At 53.4% G+C, this 18,372-nt stretch overlaps 1 protein-coding gene and 1 long non-coding RNA gene across 3 annotated transcripts in view, besides 1 other annotated feature; one reads left to right on the top strand and one right to left on the bottom strand.

Annotated features, from left to right (window-relative positions):
- The window catches only part of LOC102724701 (uncharacterized), a 441,766-nt gene that overhangs the window by 119,215 nt on the left and 304,179 nt on the right, over nucleotides 1-18,372 (top strand). The window lies entirely within an intron of this gene.
- Nucleotides 1-18,372, bottom strand: part of LOC102724652 (crystallin alpha A2) — a 65,287-nt gene that overhangs the window by 12,973 nt on the left and 33,942 nt on the right. The gene's annotated exons all lie outside the window — the stretch shown is intronic.
- Nucleotides 1-18,372: part of a sequence alteration artifact (region identified as an assembly artifact by the Genome Reference Consortium. This region falsely duplicates sequence located at GRCh38 chr21:43035651-43187643) that runs on past both edges of the window.

Here is an 18,372-nt window from a genome sequence, read left to right as displayed (position 1 = left end):
GGTGTGTATGCGTGGGGGTGTGTAAGCCACTGTCTCGGAGATCATTTTTCTCAAATATCTCTACAGATCGAGCCCTGTCGGGAGGTTTTTCCCGGCCTCTGCGATGGCTCCTCCGTGGCTCCCCGGCATTGTTTCCGCGGCCCAGCTTAAGCCTGTCCTCAGCGATTTGCCGCCCCACTGCACCCGAGCTCAATGCCAGCCCCTCACACAAAGGCCACATTCACTTCATCTACAGGATTCCCGTAACGCCAGCAGTCTGCCCCACAAAGGCTGGCGCTGCAATTTTCCACTCCAGGGCCCCGCGGGGCTCACACACAAATCCGCCTGTGTAGGGCGGATGGGGCATTGTTGTGGCTCAGCGGGGAATGTGCCTGAGCTAAGCCCTCGCCCTGCTTCTCCTCGAGGTCAGCAGGTTACACAGGATGGTCCCCTGCAGACCCCCGAGCTGCCCTCAGAGTGCAACGTGGGGCCGGTCATGTCCCGCCAGCCCTTTCCAGAACAAAGCCAGCAGGGAGAGTGTGCCATAGACCCCCGAGGCCCTCCGAGGCTGGAGTTAAGTTGGGGAGAGGATCCTCTTTCGGGGGTTTAGAGATAATTCTGTCCCACAGCACACACTGGGCGCTCACCACTGCCAGGACGTGCAGGTCATGGGTGACGGGGACAGAGCCAGTGACGTCCCGCCCTCCCCCTGCGGGCCAGCACCTGGTGCGCCCATCACGGGGTATTACTTTTACGGTGGCGGCAAATGCTACTTCATTGAGTTTATTTTTATCATGAAAATTTTTACACAGTCTCAAAAGTAGAGACCATGGAACAATGAGCCCTTCACATACTCCTCAGCCAGATCCAACAATTAGGAGGATTTTGCCCTGCTTCCCGCTTCTCTTGGTTTTTTTCTTTACTGGAGTATTTTAAAGCAAAGCACAGACGCCACGTCATTTCACCCCCGCGCACTTCAGGTACCTCTCCTACAAATCGAACATTTCTTTCTATAAGCGCAAATTCCCTCTCACGTTTGACAGGATTCCTAACAATTTCTCGATGTCATCTAAAACCTAGTCCCTCATCAGATAACCCTGATTGTCTCAAATATGTTCTTTTACAGTTGATGTGTTTGCATCATGACCTAAAAAGAATCTGCTCACTGCTCTGGTTGTTACGTAGGTATCATTTTTTCTGAAATTGCTTCTGCGTTCCTGAAAAGGTCATACGTCTTTTCCTCTTTTGATATGTTAATACAAAGAACTTTATGAATCAGTTGTCTAATGCTAAACCAATCTCACATGATTGGAACCAACCCAGCTTAGTTACTGTCTTAGCCCAGGTTTCCAAGAAGAGGGGGCCTGGGGAGCGTCTAGGTGCAGATGTTTTGTTGGGAGGTACCACCCCAGGGAAGTGAAAGGGAGGTGAGGAAGGGAGGGAGGGTACTTTGCAGAACTGGCTCTTCTCATCTCCAGGTGGCCAAATCTGCTCCAAAGGATGATGGCCTCCCTCACCCCGTCCCCAACTTTCTGACGTGTCTTTCTGGGCCCTTCGGGGAACCATGGGGAAGCAGAACCCTTGGGATCAAGGCAGCTCAGCCCGAGGCTCTCACCAGGATGGGTGGGGGCACCCCAGCCCAGGCTTGCCTCCCAGGAGCGCTAGATGGGACGATGGGTTCAGCTCTGTTACGTTTAGGATTTTCCACCTGTGCTCTGAATGCAGCTGGCCTGTAGCTCTCTCTTGTATTGTGCTTATCCGGTTTTGATACCAACGTTATAACCACCTTATAAAACGGGGGGTGGGCTGGGCGCAGCGGCTCACCCCTGTAATCCCAGTGCTTTGGGAGGCTGAGGAGGGTGGATGGCTTGAGCTCAGAAGCTTGAGACCAGCCAAGGCAACATGGCAAAACCCTGCCTTTACAAAAAAATACAAAAATTAGATGGATGTGATGGCACGCACCTGTAATCCCAGCTACTCAGGAGGCCGAGGTGGGACGATGACTTGAGCCCAGCAGGCAGAGGTTACAGTGAGCAGAGATTGCACCACTGCACTCCAGCCTGGGCAACAGAACCAGACCCTGTCTCAAATAAAAATAAACAAATAAAACGGGAGGTGAGGGAAGCATGTTTTCTAATTTTCTTTTCTTTGGGAGAATTTCTATAAAACTGAAACTGTTCTTACTTGTTGGTAGAAACTCACCAGTTAACATCTAGGAATGTTACTTTCTCTTTGGGGCTTTTTTTTTTCCTACTGATTCCATTTTTTAATGGCCATAGGACTTCTGGTTTTTAGAAAATCCTCCTTTGTGTAGGTATCACACTCACGGGCATGCAGCGTCCCCCGGGTGCTCGGATTCCTCGGTGATCTCCGGCCTCACGAGCGTGGTGGGCATTTTGTTTTTTTTTTTCTCATCCCTCTTGTTTATTTGTCTCCACCTTTTTCGTGATTAATTGGGGCGGTTTATCAATTTTATTAGATTTTGGCTTCGTTGATCCTCTCTACAGTATGTCGTTTTTTATTTCATTCATTTCTACTCATATCTTCTTTTTTTTTTTTTGACATGGAGTCTCCCTCTGTCACCCAGGCTGGAGTGCAGTGATACAATCTCAGCTCACTGCAACCTCCACCTCCCGGGTTCAAGCAATTCTCCTGGCTCAGCCTCCTGAGTAGCTGGGATTGCAGGTGCTCGCCACCATGCCCGGCTACTTTTTGTATTTTTAGTAAAGATGGGGTTTCACCCTGCTGGCCAGGCTGGTCTCGAATCTTTCTTTTGTTCTTTCCTCTGGATTTATTCCACTGCTAACGTTTGTAAATCTAACATGGTAAATTTGCTATGAGTTTTATCTTTTCTTTGCTCAGTGTCAGCGTGAAGATGGTCGTTTCCTTTTCTCACCATGGCCGCATCCCACAGGTTTAGCTGGAGAGCTGGGGCTCTTCCCGCAGTGCCCCGCAGGAGCCGCCGTGCAGCCCAGGGAGGGGCCTTCAGACATCCGGGAGCGAAGCCACACAGAGGCTTCTGCAGTCAGTCACCGGGCAAGACTCGACACTCACTGTGTGTTTGTTCTTAGCCCACCTGACCCAGAAATGACTGGAGGCAGGCAAGGGGGGCTCAAGCCCTGGGCATTCGCTGTGTTCAGAAGAATGAACAGTTCCTAGGCCAGTGCTGGAGGAGGGAGAGGAGCTGTTGCCGCATCACCCGTGACAGTGACGCTGCTGCTGTCACCACACCAGGGGTGTCCTGAGTGCTTCACCTGAGTGGACCCCGCACCCCGCACAGAAACCCTCTGCAGTCAGAACCCCGGCGACCCGGGTGCCGGGGAAGCAGCTGCGGCACCATCCGGAAAGTTACAGGAAGCTCCTGGAAGCTTCGAGAGGCAGTGCCCGGGCTAAGCCCGCCACGATGCTGCCCGCTTCGTGTGGTCTGAGCACGTAACATCTCCCTTAGCTTTTCTGCACAAAACACTGCGCTGCCAGTCCTCAAGATCCAGTCTGCGGTCCTGGCCTGCCCCGGGCACTTGTTTCCCCTTCAAAGACCTCTCAGCAGACAATTGTTTTTCACGCCCTCTGGAAGGGAACACTCAGGCCGCAGGTGACGGGCGACGTGGCTGAAGGCGTGGGACACAGTGGGTGCTTAGTCTCTCCTGGAATCAACCCAGGCTCGCCGAGGAGGCTGGACACAGCTCTGGGCGTGAGGACAAGGCTGGTTTGCCTTTGGTTCCTGAGCAGCACGGCCCACCTTTCCCCACCCAGAGGTTCCGCCCTGCCTCGAGGGGCAATGACACGGGTCGGCCAGGCCTGCAGTCAGAAGCAGGCGCTCTCAGAGCCAGGATCTGGATCCATGACTCCACGTGCCTGGTCAAGGCGAAGGCGCTAAGGAGCCCCCCAACCCCTGCTGCCTGTGGACACCTGGAGAGCAGTGCTTCCAAGGGAAAGCAGGGAGGTGGGCTGCTGGGGGGGTGTTGGCTCCCCACCTCGGGGGATGGAGAGGAGAAGGCAGGTGTGGGGCCTTTGGAAGGTGACCTGGGAAGCAGGAGTGAGTGAGGGGGCAGGAGGTGGGGTAAGGAGCAAAGCCACCGAAGGCTCCTCCATGAGAGGGTTGCTGGTGTAGGCAACTGGTACCAATCCCACTGAGGATGTCGACTGTGGCACTCCTAGCTCTCACGCGGGCCGAATGGACCGAAGCCCCAAGAGCAGAGAGGCGGGGAATGCGGCCCCTTGGAAACGGCCCCCTTAGCTTCCGTGGGCTCAGAGGCACCTGCAGGCTTCTGGCCAGGGCAGCAACAGGGTGTAGCACCAGCACCAGAGACCATGACACCCACCAAACCAGGGGCATCTGTCAGGGTTCCCAGAGGAACAGAACCCACAGAACAGAGCCGATAGGATAGGTGGACAGAAGGATGAATGGATGGATGGAGGGAAAGAGATTTATTTGAAGAAATTGGCTCGGGCAATTGTGGGGGTTGTCACTTCCAAAATCTGCAGGGCAGGCGGCAGGCTGGAGACTCAGGCAAGAGCTGACTGAGGTCTCAAGTCCAAGTTCTGCAGGGCGGCATGCTGGATACCCAGGCAGGGTTTCTGTATTGCAGTCTTGAGGGAGGTGCAATTCCTTCTTCTTCAGGAAAGCTTAGTCTTTGAACTTAAGGCCTCTGGCTGACCGGACAAGACCCACCCACACGACGGAAGGTCACCAGCTTTAAAAGTCTACTGACCTAAATACGAATCACATCTACACAGCTGTCCACGACAACATCCAGATGGGCGTTTGACCAAACCGGGCGCCGTGGCCCAGCCAAGTTGATGCATGACACAAACCGTTGCACCGGGGTGAACCCAGGAAGGTTAACACCTCACTAAACAAGGAAGGTGAGCCTTCCTGCTGCTCTCAGAGCCTTGAGGAAAGGGAGCGCATTCGGGTTGAGGAAACAAAACCTCTTCTTAGATGATTGCTACTAAAATTACCATAACCCCCCAAGAAATGGCTGCACCATGGGTGTTATTTTGTTTTTTTTTTTTAATCTGTTATTTTTGTACAGACAGGGTATCCTTATGTTGCCCAGGCTGGCCTCGAACTCCTGGCCTCAAGCGATCTTCCTGCCTTGGCCTCCCAAAGCACTGAGATTACAGGTGTGAGCCGCCACGCCTTGCCATGGGAGTTATTTTTCTCATGTGCAAAGATTTCGGTTTTCAGTCAGTGTGGGTCTGCACTAGCCGGGAAAACTGTCCAGAAACTCATTCGTGTCGAGAAAGAACACAGTACAGCCCTGGCGTCCAGAGCCACCCTGATGCTCAGGGCCAGGCTTTTGCTTTCCTCCTGGACGTAAACAACCTCCCGGAACGCCAGCTGAGACAGGGGCCACGAGACCATGGCAGAAGGAGATGAAGCAAGGCCACCCGTAATCGTGTCTAAGCACAAAAGCAAGGTCACCGCACAGCCCACGAAACGCTGGACGCCTCTCCTGTTGCTAAATGAGTGGCTGCTGCCCTGTTAGAGAATCCTACCGGGCCCCTGCGCCCTCACCACCCCAATCTAAAACAAACCCCACCTTAGGCCCTTTCCAAGCCACCCAACCCGTGTCCCCTAACACTCTGTTACTGAAACGCCCTCAGTTCCCCCACGGGGCATGCAGTCCGGCCTGGTCGCCTGCAGGCGTGTGTGTTGCTGCGGCCTCTGGCTGGGGGGTGCCGCCAGTGGTCTGCCCAGGGTAACTGGATACCGAGTGACAGCCGGCCACACGGGGCCCTGGTCACACACGGTGAACGATGACTCAGCCCTGGTCCTGGAGTATGCGGGAGCCAGGGGGCCCAGGCCCATCTGCAATTTCCCTTCCTGTTCTCACCAATCAGGCTGTGGCCCCATGACTCCACCAAAATGTCTCTCCACATTGCCACGCGCGGCCCTCGGCTCCAGGCCTCCCCCGGCCTCCTGGGCGGCTGTCAGCGGGCCACGCCCCTTCCGGGCGCACTGGCTCCACCTGGTCTCCAGGATGCGCGGTCCCCTGCTTCTCCCGCACCGCGAGCTCCTCCCCGCCAATGCTGGGGGCCCCGGGGCTCGGTGCTTGCATCCTCTACTTCCGTCCACACTTGGACCAGCCGGTTGACCTCATCACGTCCTATTTCCTGTGCGCTGGCTCCGCCCTACGCACTCGCCTGGCTTCTCCACGGCTCCCATTGGATGCCGAGCAGCGCCAGACGCAGCGTCTTAGACCCAGCGTGTCTGAAACCGGCTGTTCCCACGGCCTTTCTTACCCCAGCTATCAGAACTTCACTCTTGGCCGGGCGCAGTGGCTTACACTTGTAATCCCAGCACTTTGGAAGGCCGAGGCGGGTGGATCACATGAGGTCAGGAGTTTGAGACCAGCCCGGCCAACATGGCGAAACCCTGTCTCCACTAAAAACACAAAAATTAGCCGGGTGTGGTGGCCGGCACCTGTAATCCCAGCTACTCAGGAGGCTGAGGCAAGAGGATCGCTTGAACCCCAGGAGGCGGAAGTTGCAGTGAGCCGAGATTGAGAAACTGCACTCCAGCCTGGGCAACAGAGCAAGACTCCTTCTCGAAAAAAAAAAAAAAACAAAAACAAAAACGAAAAAACCCTTTTTTTTTTTTTAGGAAACGGCCTCTCACTATGTTGCCCAGGCTAGACTTGAACTCCTGGGCTGAAGTGATCCTCGTGCCTGGGCCTCCCTAGTAGCTGGGATTACAGGCAAGAGTTACTACAGCCCTAACCCCAGTGTGACTGTATTTGGAGATAGGAGGAGGTAATCAACATTACATTAGGTCATAAGCAGGGGGCTCTAATCCAATAGGACTGGCGTCCTTATAAGAAAAGAGAAAGAGACACCAGGGATGTGTGTGCCCAGAGGAAAGGCCCTGTGAGGACACAGGGAGAAGGTGGCTGTCCGCAAACCACAGAGAGAGGCCTCAGGAAGAGCCAGCCCTTCTGACACTTTCATCTCAGACTTCCAGCCTCTAGAACTGAGATAATAAATTTCTGTTATTTAAATCACTCAGTCTGTGGTATCTTGTACGGCAGCCCAAGCGGACTGAGACACGCCCCATCCCTGATTTATCAGCAAATTCTGTCACCTCTACCTGCAAAAACTGTCCAGACTTTACCCATTCCTCACCACCCCACCACCTCGATCCAAGACAGCACTGTCCTCTGCCTGGATGGTTGCCGTTCGTGCCTCCCTGGGTTCCCATTTATGGCTTTGCCTCCAAGTCTATTCTCCACCCAGCAGCTGGGGCAATTCCTAAAACGAGGATTGCATCAGGCCCCTCCTGGACTCCACATCTTGCCTGATTTCCCTTCTTACCCAGGGGAAAAGTCAAATTCTTTACGGTGACCCGCAGTGCCTTACAGACCTAGCCCCAGCCTCCCCTTGTTCCCAATGCTCCTACCATGCTGGCCCCTTGGGGTTCTCCGAGGCGCATGTGCCCTCCTACCTCAGGGCCTTTGCATGGCCTGTTCCCACCTCAGAGAGCTCTTCCTGCAGTTCTCTGCATGGCTGGTGCACTAATTTCCTTGAGGTCTGTACCGAAAACCCGCTGTCGTAATCCATTTTGTGCTGCTATAACAGAATACCGCAGACTACACACTTTATAAAGAACAGAACTTTATTTCCTCCCAGTTCTGGAGGCTGAGAAGTTGGCAGGTGGGACTTCCTGCTGTGTCATCCCGCAGCAGCAGGTGGAAGAGCAAAGAGAGGGGGGACCCAACGCACCCTTTCGTAAGGAGCCCAGATTCACGATAACAAACGTATTCTAGCGATTATAGCATTCATCCATTCATGAGGGCCCCGCCTCTCGCCTAGTCACCCCAGGGCCGAATCACCTCCCATTAGGCCCGCCTCCCAACACTGTGGCCTTGGGGAATAAGTTTCCAACACATGCTTCTTGAGAGAAGCATTCGAACCACAGCGCCCACCTTGTGAGTGACTCTGCCATGGCTCGCTATGGGCAGAGTGTGTGTCCCCAGCCTTCTGACTTGTTGCGACTTGTGACTTGCTTTGGGCAATGGAGTGTGAGCAGACATAACTTTGGCCATGTCCGGCTGAAGGCATTCAATGTGCGTGCATGGTTGAGCCCTGCGCCATGAGAAGGCTGTGCCCACATAGACGCTGTTCCCTCTGTCTGAACCTCAGAAGGGTAACACATGGAGTGGCCCTAACCCAACCCAATGCCTGAGGCAGAACCACCCAAGCAAACCATAGACCCAAGAGAATGGGTGGAAGCCACTGGAACTTAGGGGTGTTTGTTATGTAGCATTACCATAACAAGAGCTGACCAATGCATGAGGACTTCCACACATCTCACGCCCTCCTCTCCTCTGGCAGTTCTTTTCCTCCTGAACACACGTTATTCTCTAACATTCAGTATAGTCCCCTTATTTATCTTGTGTATGGTCTGCCTTCTCTACTAGAAGGTAAGCTCCATGAGGGCAGGAATTGTCATCTCTTTTGTTCACCACTGTATCCCCAGTGCTAAATGGGAAGAGGCATTGAACACAGATTGTTGAATGGATGGATGGATGGATGGATGGATGGATGAATGTGTTGGGTCTGAGACTAGAGCGAATTCCTAGGAGCAATGGGAACACTTACGCAGAGCTGTCCACCCAGGGCTGGAGACCGGGGCGGATGTGTCAGGAACACATCCAAGCAGAAACCCTAGGTGGCCACACTGACTCAGCAAATGAAGGTTCCCAGAGAACTTATCCCCTTCACCAGAGTGAACGCAGCTGCCTAGAATAGGTAGGGCTGGGTGACATTAATAAGGAGAGGGCAAACGTAAGATACTGTATGAATTACCCGAGATGCACACCAGGCCATCAGGATGCCAGGAACAGCTCTCTCCCATGCGTCTACTGTTCAAGCCACTTCCATGTGAGCGCCAGAGCAATTAGAAAGTAGCTATGTTTTTATTAAGCACCTACTGTGTGCCACACTAGCTGACTGGATACAGCTATAAAAAAGACAGTTCCTGACTTCAGGGGGCTACATTCCCATAGGAGAGACTGGCAAGCAGACAGACTGTGTGACAGGCAGGGAGGAACAGAGCCAATAAGATATATAAATATAGATATTAAGAAATACATATAGATATCGATATCAATAGTGGTGGCTGGCAAATCCAACATTGATAGATGAGCCAGCAGGCTGAAAACTCAGGAAGGAATTGGAGTTGCAGTTTTGAGGCAGAATTTCTTCTTCTCAGGAAACCTCATTTTTGCTCTTCAGGCCTTTGACTGTTTGAACAAGGCCCACCCATGTCATTCAGGATCACCTCCTTTACTCAAGGTGGACGGATTGTAGATGTTAATCGCACGCACAAAACACCTTCACAGCAACACTTTGCCTCATGTTTGAGTCCCTGGGGACTGGCACCTAATCAAGATAACATAAACTGACCGTGACGTGGCGGTGATGGTCGCAAACGGTGTGAATGTACTTAATGCCACAGAACTGTACACTTGGAAATGGTTAAAATGGCAACCTTTATGTTACATATATTTAACCACTTTTTTTTTTTGAGACAGAGTTTCACTCTGTTGCCCAAGCTGGAGTGCAGTGGTGTGATCGCAGCTCACTGCAACCTCCGCCTCCCAGATTCCAGCAATTCTTCCACCTCAGCCTCCTGAGTAGCTAGGATTACAGACGTGCACCACCATGCCCAGCTAATTTATTTATTTATTTATTTTGAGACGGAGTTTCACTCTGTCACCCAGGCTGGAGTGCAGTGGCACTGTCTCGGTTTACTGCAACCTCTGCCTCCCAGGTTCAAGCAATTCTCCTGCCTCAGCCTCCCAAGTAGCTGGGACTACAGGCGTGTGCCAACACGCCCAGCTAATTTTTGTATTTTTAGTAGAGACAGGGTTTTGCCACGTTGCCTAGGCTGTTCTCAAACTCCTGACCTCAGGTGATCCACCTGCCTTGGCTTCCCAAAGTGCTGGGATTACAGGCACGCGCCACCACACCCAGCTAATTTTTGTATTTTTGGTAGAGATGTAGTTTTGCCATGTTGCCCAGGCTGGTCTCAAACTCCTGACCTCAAGCGATCCACCCCCCCTTAGCCTCTCGAAGTGCTGGGATTACAGGCATGGACCTCTGCACCCAGCCTAACCACAATTTTTTAAACGTTTGATGAAGGTGAACATTGATGCCTGAACACCCAGGAGGTGTAACCAACTTCACCTGGAACCCAGAAACACCCCTCCCACCACCAAAACGCAGGTGAGAGCTGTGGCCAAAATAGGCTCCAACTAGTAGGACTGTGTCTGGAAGCAGCGCTGAGCCGTGGGAGCACCGTCACATGTGGCACGTTCCCACGCTCGGCCCCCAGCGTGCTCCTGGCTGGCTCTCAAGCCTGGCAGCAAGAGAATCATACAGGACCATTTCCAGTTCTCATCCCCATTGATTGTAATTGTTGGCTGTGGTGGGCAGAATAATGACCCCGACCCCAAGATGTCCATGTCCCCGTCCCCAGCACCCATGAATGTGCACATTACTCTGCAAAAGGCAGCTGGAGATGGGATTAAGTGAGGGATCACGAGCTGGGGAGATGCTTCTGGATACCCAGGTGGCCCTGACGTCACCACAGGGGTCCTTACAGGAAAGCAGGGAAGGAGGGTGGCAGGAGGGTTGGTGAAGGAGCTGCGGGCGCGAACAGTCACACCTGTGCCATATGCAGGGCCTTGAGTTATGACAGAACAGGGCGGCCTCTAAAAGCTGGAAGAGGCAAGGAGGTGGATTCTCTCCTAGAGGCTTCAGAAGCAACGCAGGCCAGCTGGCACTTTGATTATCACCCAGCGGGACCCACTTCAGGCTTCTGACTTCCACTGCAAGATGACCAAGTCGTTCTGTTCCTTGCGGCAGCCACAGGGACGTGCGCACGGCTGGAAACGGCGCGGCACTCGTTGAGACCCCTGCTGCTGCTCCATACATTCGTCCTGACGTCCTGGGAAAGGACCTTGGCCCCTTTTTTTTTTTTTTTTTTTTTTTTTTGCGACAGGGTCTCACTCTGTTGCCCAGGCTGGAGTGCAGTGGTGCTATCACAGTTCACTGCAGCCTTAACCTCCTGGGCCCAAGTGATCCTCCCATTTCAGCCTCTGGAGTAGCTAGACCACAGGCGCACTTGGCTAATTTTTATTTATTTTTTGTAGAGATGGGGTCTTGCTATGTTGCCCAGGCTGTTCTCAAACTCCTGGCCTCAAGCAGTCCTCTGGCCTCAGCCTCCCAAAGTGCTGGGATTACAGGTATGAGACACCTTGCCCAGCCAGACCTTGGCCACATAAAGAGCTCTGTCCCCAAAACTGCACACAGTACATAGTCAAGAGGGGTCTGCACCTGCCTCCCAGGGATATATCGGCCAGAAGGCAGACTAATCAGGAGAAGCACAGAATGAAGTGACACTGTTTAAACTGGTGCCAAAATCACAGGTGAAGCCAGTGCATCCTGGCATGGCCTGGTGGACACCTCATGGTTCTGTTCTGTTTAATTCCATGATCATCTCATTGTACCGGGCCCTGGGACACAGAGAGGGGGTCAGTGGCACAGTGCCTGCCCTAAAGGCCTTCTGAGTTTTACAGAGCTGGAAGGGCCGACCTGAGGCTGGCCCAGCAGGCAACAGGAGGATCCGCCCGGGAGCCAGGAGCTGCCTAGAATGCCAGACATAGCACTGGCTACTCACAGGCCTTCGCCTGCCAAGGGGACTACAGTCACTGCCGCTGGCCCCCACGTGCATTAGGATTTGTTGTTAAATCCTGTGGGGAAAAGCAAGAAAGATCAGATTGTTACTGTGTCTGTGTAGAAAGAAGTAGACATAGGAGACTCCATTTTGTTATGTACTAAGAAAAATTCTTCTGCCTTGAGATTCTGTGACCTTACCCCCAACCCCGTGCTCTCTGAAACATGTGCTGTGTCAACTCAGAGTTGAATGGATTAAGGGCGGTGCCAGATGTGCTTTGTTAAACAGATGCTTGAAGGCAGCATGCTCCTTAAGAGTCATCACCACTCCCTAATCTCAAGTACCCAGGGACACAAAAACTGCGGAAGGCCGCAGGGACCTCTGCCTAGGAAAGCCAGGTATTGTCCAAGGTTTCTCCCCATGTGATAGTCTGAGATATGGCCTCGTGGGAAGGGAAAGACCTGACCGTCCCCCAGCCCGACACCCATAAAGGGTCTGTGCTGAGGAGGATTAGTAAAAGAGGAAGGAACGCCTCTTGCAGTTGAGACAAGAGGAAGGCATCTGTCTCCTGCCCGTCCCTGGGCAATGGAATGTCTCGGTATAAAACCCGATTGTATGCTCCATCTACTGAGATAGGGAAAAACCGCCTTAGGGCTGGAGGTGGGACCTGCGGGCAGCAATACTGCTTTGTAAAGCATTGAGATGTTTATGTGTATGCATATCTAAAAGCACAGCACTTAATCCTTTACCTTGTCTATGATGCAAAGACCTTTGTTCACGTGTTTGTCTGCTGACCCTCTCCCCACAATTGTCTTGTGACCCTGACACATCCCCCTCTTCGAGAAACACCCACAAATGATGAATAAATACTAAGGGAACTCAGAGGCTGGCGGGATCCTCCATATGCTGAACGCTGGTTCCCCGGGTCCCCTTATTTCTTTCTCTATACTTTGTCTCTGTGTCTTTTTCTTTTCCAAATCTCTCGTCCCACCTTACGAGAAACACCCACAGGTGTGGAGGGGCAACCCATCCCTACAAATCCCAGGGGCAAGAAGAAACCACTGGGAAGCAGAGGGACAAAGAGGGGTCGGTATCACTAAATCCAAGGGACATGGTGCTTTTTTTAAAGTATTTTTCGAACTATGGTGAAACATGTATAACGTAAAATTTACCATCATGACCATTTTTAAGTGCACAGTTCAGTGGCATCAAGTACATTCCAGTCTTGTGCAACCATCCCTGACATCCAGCCACAGAACTCTTCATCGTGCAAAGCAAACTCTGTCCCCGTTCAACACTCCGCCCCCGTTCCCCATCCCCCAGCCCCGGTGCCACCATTCTGCTTTCTGTCTCTGTGAATCTGACTCCTCCAGGGCCTCATCAAAGGGGAGGTCACCGTACTTGTGCGTCTGTGACTGGCCTCTTTGACTCAGCCTAATGTCCTCATTCCTGTCTAGCCTGCATCAGAATTCCCTTCCTTTCGACGGCTGAATGATAGTCTCCCGTGGGAATAGACCACATCTAGGGAACCCTTCTTGAGGGCCTGCTGGGAAGTGGAGGTAGCCCAGAACTGACAGGCCCAGGTTCGGCCCTCAAGGAGCTCACAGGACAGGGAAAGCGCCCTGGAGATGCGGCGAGGAAGCCACACCTGCACGGCCACACTCCTGCCTCACCCACAGCCAAGGCTGGTGTTTTTGCTCCAACCCTGGCCAGCCAAGTTCTTGCCCCACCAGGGCCTCTGGGTGAGCTGCAGCAGGAAGAACATGGATAAAACTAATCATCAGCTGGGCGCGGTGGCTCATGCCTGTAATCCCAGCACTTTGGGAGGCCAAGGCGGGTGGATCACTTGAGGTCAGGAGTTCGAGACCAGCCTGGCCAACACAGCGAAACCCTGTCTCTACTAAAAATACAAAAATTAGCCAGGCATGGTGGTGCATGCCTGTAATCCCAGCTACTCAAGAGGCTGAGGCAGGAGAATCGCTTGAACCTGAGAGGTGGAGGTTGCAGTTGAGCTGAGATCGTGCCACTGCTCTCCAGCCTGGGTGACAGAGGGAGACTCCTTCTCAAAAAAAAAAACAAAACTAACCATCAATGCCTGGACCTGCCTCCCTCCTTCTGGGAGCTGAGCGACACTGCACAGCTGGCAAGAGGTACAAACGGACACAAGCAGCCGCCTCATGAGGGGCCCGGGACATCTCCACATGTGCTTGTTACAAACAACATCGCACGCGTCTCTGAGAGCATTTCCCTAAGTCAAGTTCCCAGAAGTGAAATTCCTGAATCAAATAATCAAACATCAGTCGCAATGAGAACCACAGCTCCTTCCTCACCCTCCCTATGAATTTGTAAAAGCAGATATGAAATGAACAAGTAGAACGCTCACATCCTCTCGCTCCCCTTGGGAAAAATGTACACGTGAATTTTCCTAAATGCAGTTAGATAAGCATGAAACTTCACACACAGAAACCGATGAGATGATCTTCTACGCTTTTGTGGATTTATTCAAAATGTTGCTTCTCTATTAGAAAGAAAAAAGAAAAGCCCAAGGTGCCCCACGGCACAGAACTGCTGCCTCCCTCCTGCTTCCCTCCTGCTTCCACAGCTCCCCTGGTGACACGGCCAGGTTCTAGGGGCTGGCCAGCCCTTGTCTTTAACCCTCTCAGGACACAGATTCCGGAACAAACAAAGCACTTCTCACCTGTAACTTGAGCATCTCAAAACCCAAGGGCTGGCTGGACATGGTGGTTCACACCTGTGACCCCAACACTTTGGGAGGCCAAGGGAGGAGGATCGTTTGAAAGCTGGAGGTCAAGGCTGCAGTAAGTCAAGATGGCGCCACTGCACTCCAACCTGGGTATATTAGTCCGTTTTCATGCTTCAGATAAAGACATACTCAAGACTGGGAAGAAAAAGAGGTTTAATGGGCTCACTGGGGAGGCCTCACAATCATGACAGAAGGCACATCTCACACGGCAGCTGCAAGAGAGAATGCGGAAAGCTCTTCTAAAACCATCAGATCTCATGAGACTTATTCACTACCACAAGAACAGTACAGGGGAAACCACCCCTATGATTCAATTATCTCCCACTGGGTCCCTCCCACAACATGTGGGAATTATGGGAGTACAATTCAAGATGAGATTTGGGGCTGGGCACGGTGGCTCACACCTATAATCCCAGCACTTTGGGAGGCCGAAGTGGGTGGATCACCTGAGGTCAGGAGTTCAAGACCAGCCTGGCCAACATGATGAAACCCCATCTCTATTAAAAATACAAAAAAAATTATCCAGACATGGTGGTCTGCGCCCTTAATCCCAGCTACTCGGGAGGCTGAAGCAGGGGAATCGCTTGAACCCTGGAAGTGGAGGTTGCGGTGAGCCGAGATTGCACCACTGCACTCCAGCCTGGGCAACAAGAGCGAAACTCCGTCTCAAAAAAAAAAAAAATAAAAGATGAGATTTGGGTGGGGACACAGCCAGACCATATCACTGGGTGACATAATGAGACCCTGCCTCTAAAAATAAAAATAAAAATAAATTTTTTAAAAACCACAAGGGCTGACTGCCAAGGTCTGGGAGCCCCAGGGGGCTGGCCATGGTTGCGGGAGTTCACAAGAGAGCAGGGTCTTCACTGCTCCAGGCCACCTTATAGCGGGTGTTCCCACATCAGTATCTGTGCACGTTGGTGAGTTTGGGCACGGAAATTCAACAGAGCGCCGCCTCATTCACATTTGCGTCCCCAAGGACTGGCGCACAGAAGGGTTCAGGAAATCCATTTGTGCACGGGCGGGTGTTTTTTTGATTTCCTTGTTCCATGAGACCTGGACAAAAAGGAATAGAAAGTTCTAGCCAGGTGGGCACCAGCAGGCCGTCACCTGGAGTCCAATCTGGGAGTGTCAATCTGTTTTTCCCACCTGCCCCCCACTCTGCCCACCCTTAGGGGTTGTTTGACCAGGGCCACCAGCACCTTACACCTAGCGGACACCCCAGGGCCTTCCAGAACCCTAAGCTCATGGCATCTTTGTGTTTCTAACTTGGAAGTCCACCAGCTCCTGCCATCCCAGAACAGGCTGTTTCCTTGGAGTTCATGCAGAGAACCTCAGAGCTGGGAGGAGGCGAGAGCCCCAGACCACACGTGACCAAGGTCCGACCGCGAGACTGTCAGGGACGGCGACTCTTTGTCCACCGCCCATGCTCTGCTCTTTCTGTGCTCCTACCCAGAGTTTTCGTTCCTCTGAGCCTCAGTTTCCCCAACTATAAAATGGAGATGAAGGCAATGACCGTTCCCCTAAACAGCACCACAGCTGCCAGAGGCAGGATGGTCAGCTCCATGGCCTACAGAGGAGGAAGCTGAGGAAAGACCGACCGAGGAACTGGACCTCTGAGGGCTCAAAGTTGTGCATGGCCTGGGGTGGCTCTGGGAGCCGGAGGGAGGCAGCTGGCTCCATTCTGGCCCCTGATCCATGGGACATCCTCCCCTTGATGAACCGGCATGCAGACCGGCCACCTCCACCCAGTCACCCTGACACAAACGCCCACAGCCTCTTCCAGCCCCTACTGAGAACCTATGTAAACGGTCTCAGAGAAACCACGGCCCCGAAACTTCCACAAAGCTACTGGCATAGCGGCTCTCTCAAGCCACTGCCCACACCACCAGCTCATTCTACCTGGCTCACCAAGGACCTGCATTGGGTGGAACTGTGTCCCCCAAAGCGATGTCTTCAAGTCCTAACCTCAAAACCTACGGATGTGATCTTATTTGGAAGTGGGGTCTTTGCAGATGTAATGAGGCTAAGATGAGGTCACACTGGAGAAGGTGGGCCCTCATCTAATGACTGGCGACCCTGTAAGAAGAGAGAAATTTGGACGCACACACACAGAGAGGTCGTGTAAACACGGAGGCAGAGGTAGGAGTGAGGCTGCCACAGATCAGAGTTCCAAGGCTTCCGGCACCCACCAGCAGCTGGCAGAAGCGAGGAAGGGAACTCTCCTAGAATCTCAGAGGGGGCGCGGCTCCACCCACACCTGGAGTTCAGACTTCTGGCCTCCAGAGCCACGACAGAGCACATGTCTATGGTTTAAGCCCCTCATTTTGTGGTACTTTGTTGGGCTGCCCCGGAACACTGATGCAAGCCTGGATTCGTCCATTTTCCCACTGCTATAAAGAACTTCTGGCTGGGTGCGGTGGCTCACGCCTGTAATCCCAGCACTTTGGGAGGCCGAGGTGGGTGGATCACCTGATGTCAGGAGTTCGAGACCATCATGGCCAACATGGTGAAACCCCATCTCTACCAAAAATACAAAAATTAGCCGGCAGTGGTGGCAGGCACCTGTAATCCCAGCTACTCGGGAGACTGAGGCACGAGAATCGCTTGAACCCAGGAGGCGCAGGTTGCAGTGAGCCGAGATGGTGCCACTGCACTCCAGCCTGGGTGACAGAGCAAGACTCTGTCTGAAAAAAAAAAAAAAAAAACTTACTTGAGACTGGGTGATTTCTAAAGGAAAGAGTTTTCATTGACTCAGAGTTCTGCATGGCTGGGGAGGCCTCAGGAAACTTACAGTCATGGCTGAAGGGGAAGCAGGCACCTTCTTCACATGGTGGCAGGAGAGAGAGAGCAAGAGCAAGCGAAGGGGGAAGAGCCCCTTATAAAACCATCAGATCCCATGAGAACTCACTAGCTATCATGAGAACAGCATGGAGGAAACCGCCTCATGATCCAATCGCCTCCCTCCTTCAACACCTGGGGATTACAATTCGAGGTGAGATTTGGGTGGGGACACAGCCTCACCACATCATAGCCATTCTGCCCTCCCTGCCCTGCCCTGCCCTGCCTCCAGGTCTGCCTCCAGACCTGGAGTGTTTCTGAGAGTGGACCCAGCACAGGGAGGAGGTGGCTCAGGACACTCAACTCCTGGTCCAGCTCCCACTCATAGCTGGGGTCCTGGCCGGTGACTCCATCTCCCTTTCTGCTGTCTCCCTGTCTATAAGACAAGGGGCTGGGCCAGCCATCTCAAGGTCCCCTCCAGTTCCATCTTCCCAGGGCTGAGCAGGTCCTGGGCCTTGGCGTCACAGAGCCCAGCTCACAGGCCCACCCGGGAGAGGTATCGGGATGTGTCTTTGCCACATCATAAGTTAGGCAGAAAGATGTGTGGGACGTGGCCCTGCCCCCGGTCAGGACGGTGGACACATGCAAACGCCGCACAGACGCACCCTGCCCTGACACCGCCCGGAGCACCTGGGTGGCTTCCTGAATGGCGAGGCATGGTGGGCACTCATGGGCCTGCCGTGCACCCCACCTGCAGGGCACGTGCCCAGCAGACAGCAAGGGCTGAATGACAGGTGACAGGACGGCCGCCAGGCAGGCGAAGGTGGGGCCAAAGGCAAGGGTGGCTGCTCGGCTGCAGGGCACGGACACTCAGCCTCTATTTCCTCCTGGGGTGGCGAGGGGGGGCGAGGGAGGGGCGAGGGAGGGGCGAGGGGGGGCGAGGGAGGGGTGAGGGAGGGGTGAGGGACGGTCAGACCGGATGTGGCTGTGCTTCAGACCGCGCGGGAAGTCCTGGGATGGCGTGGAGCCCGCTTCAGCTGAAGGGACAGAGGGAGAGGCAGGGGCCAGACAGCGCCGACCACCTGAGACCCAGGCAAGAGACAGTATGGTGGGTGGGGGTACTGCCCAGTAAGGGCTGGGGGAGAGGACTGAGGAAACCCTC

Source organism: Homo sapiens, chromosome 21 (assembly GCF_000001405.40).
Source record: "Homo sapiens chromosome 21, GRCh38.p14 Primary Assembly".
Lineage (NCBI taxonomy): Eukaryota > Metazoa > Chordata > Mammalia > Primates > Hominidae > Homo > Homo sapiens.
This window is presented reverse-complemented; position numbering and strand designations above follow the sequence as displayed.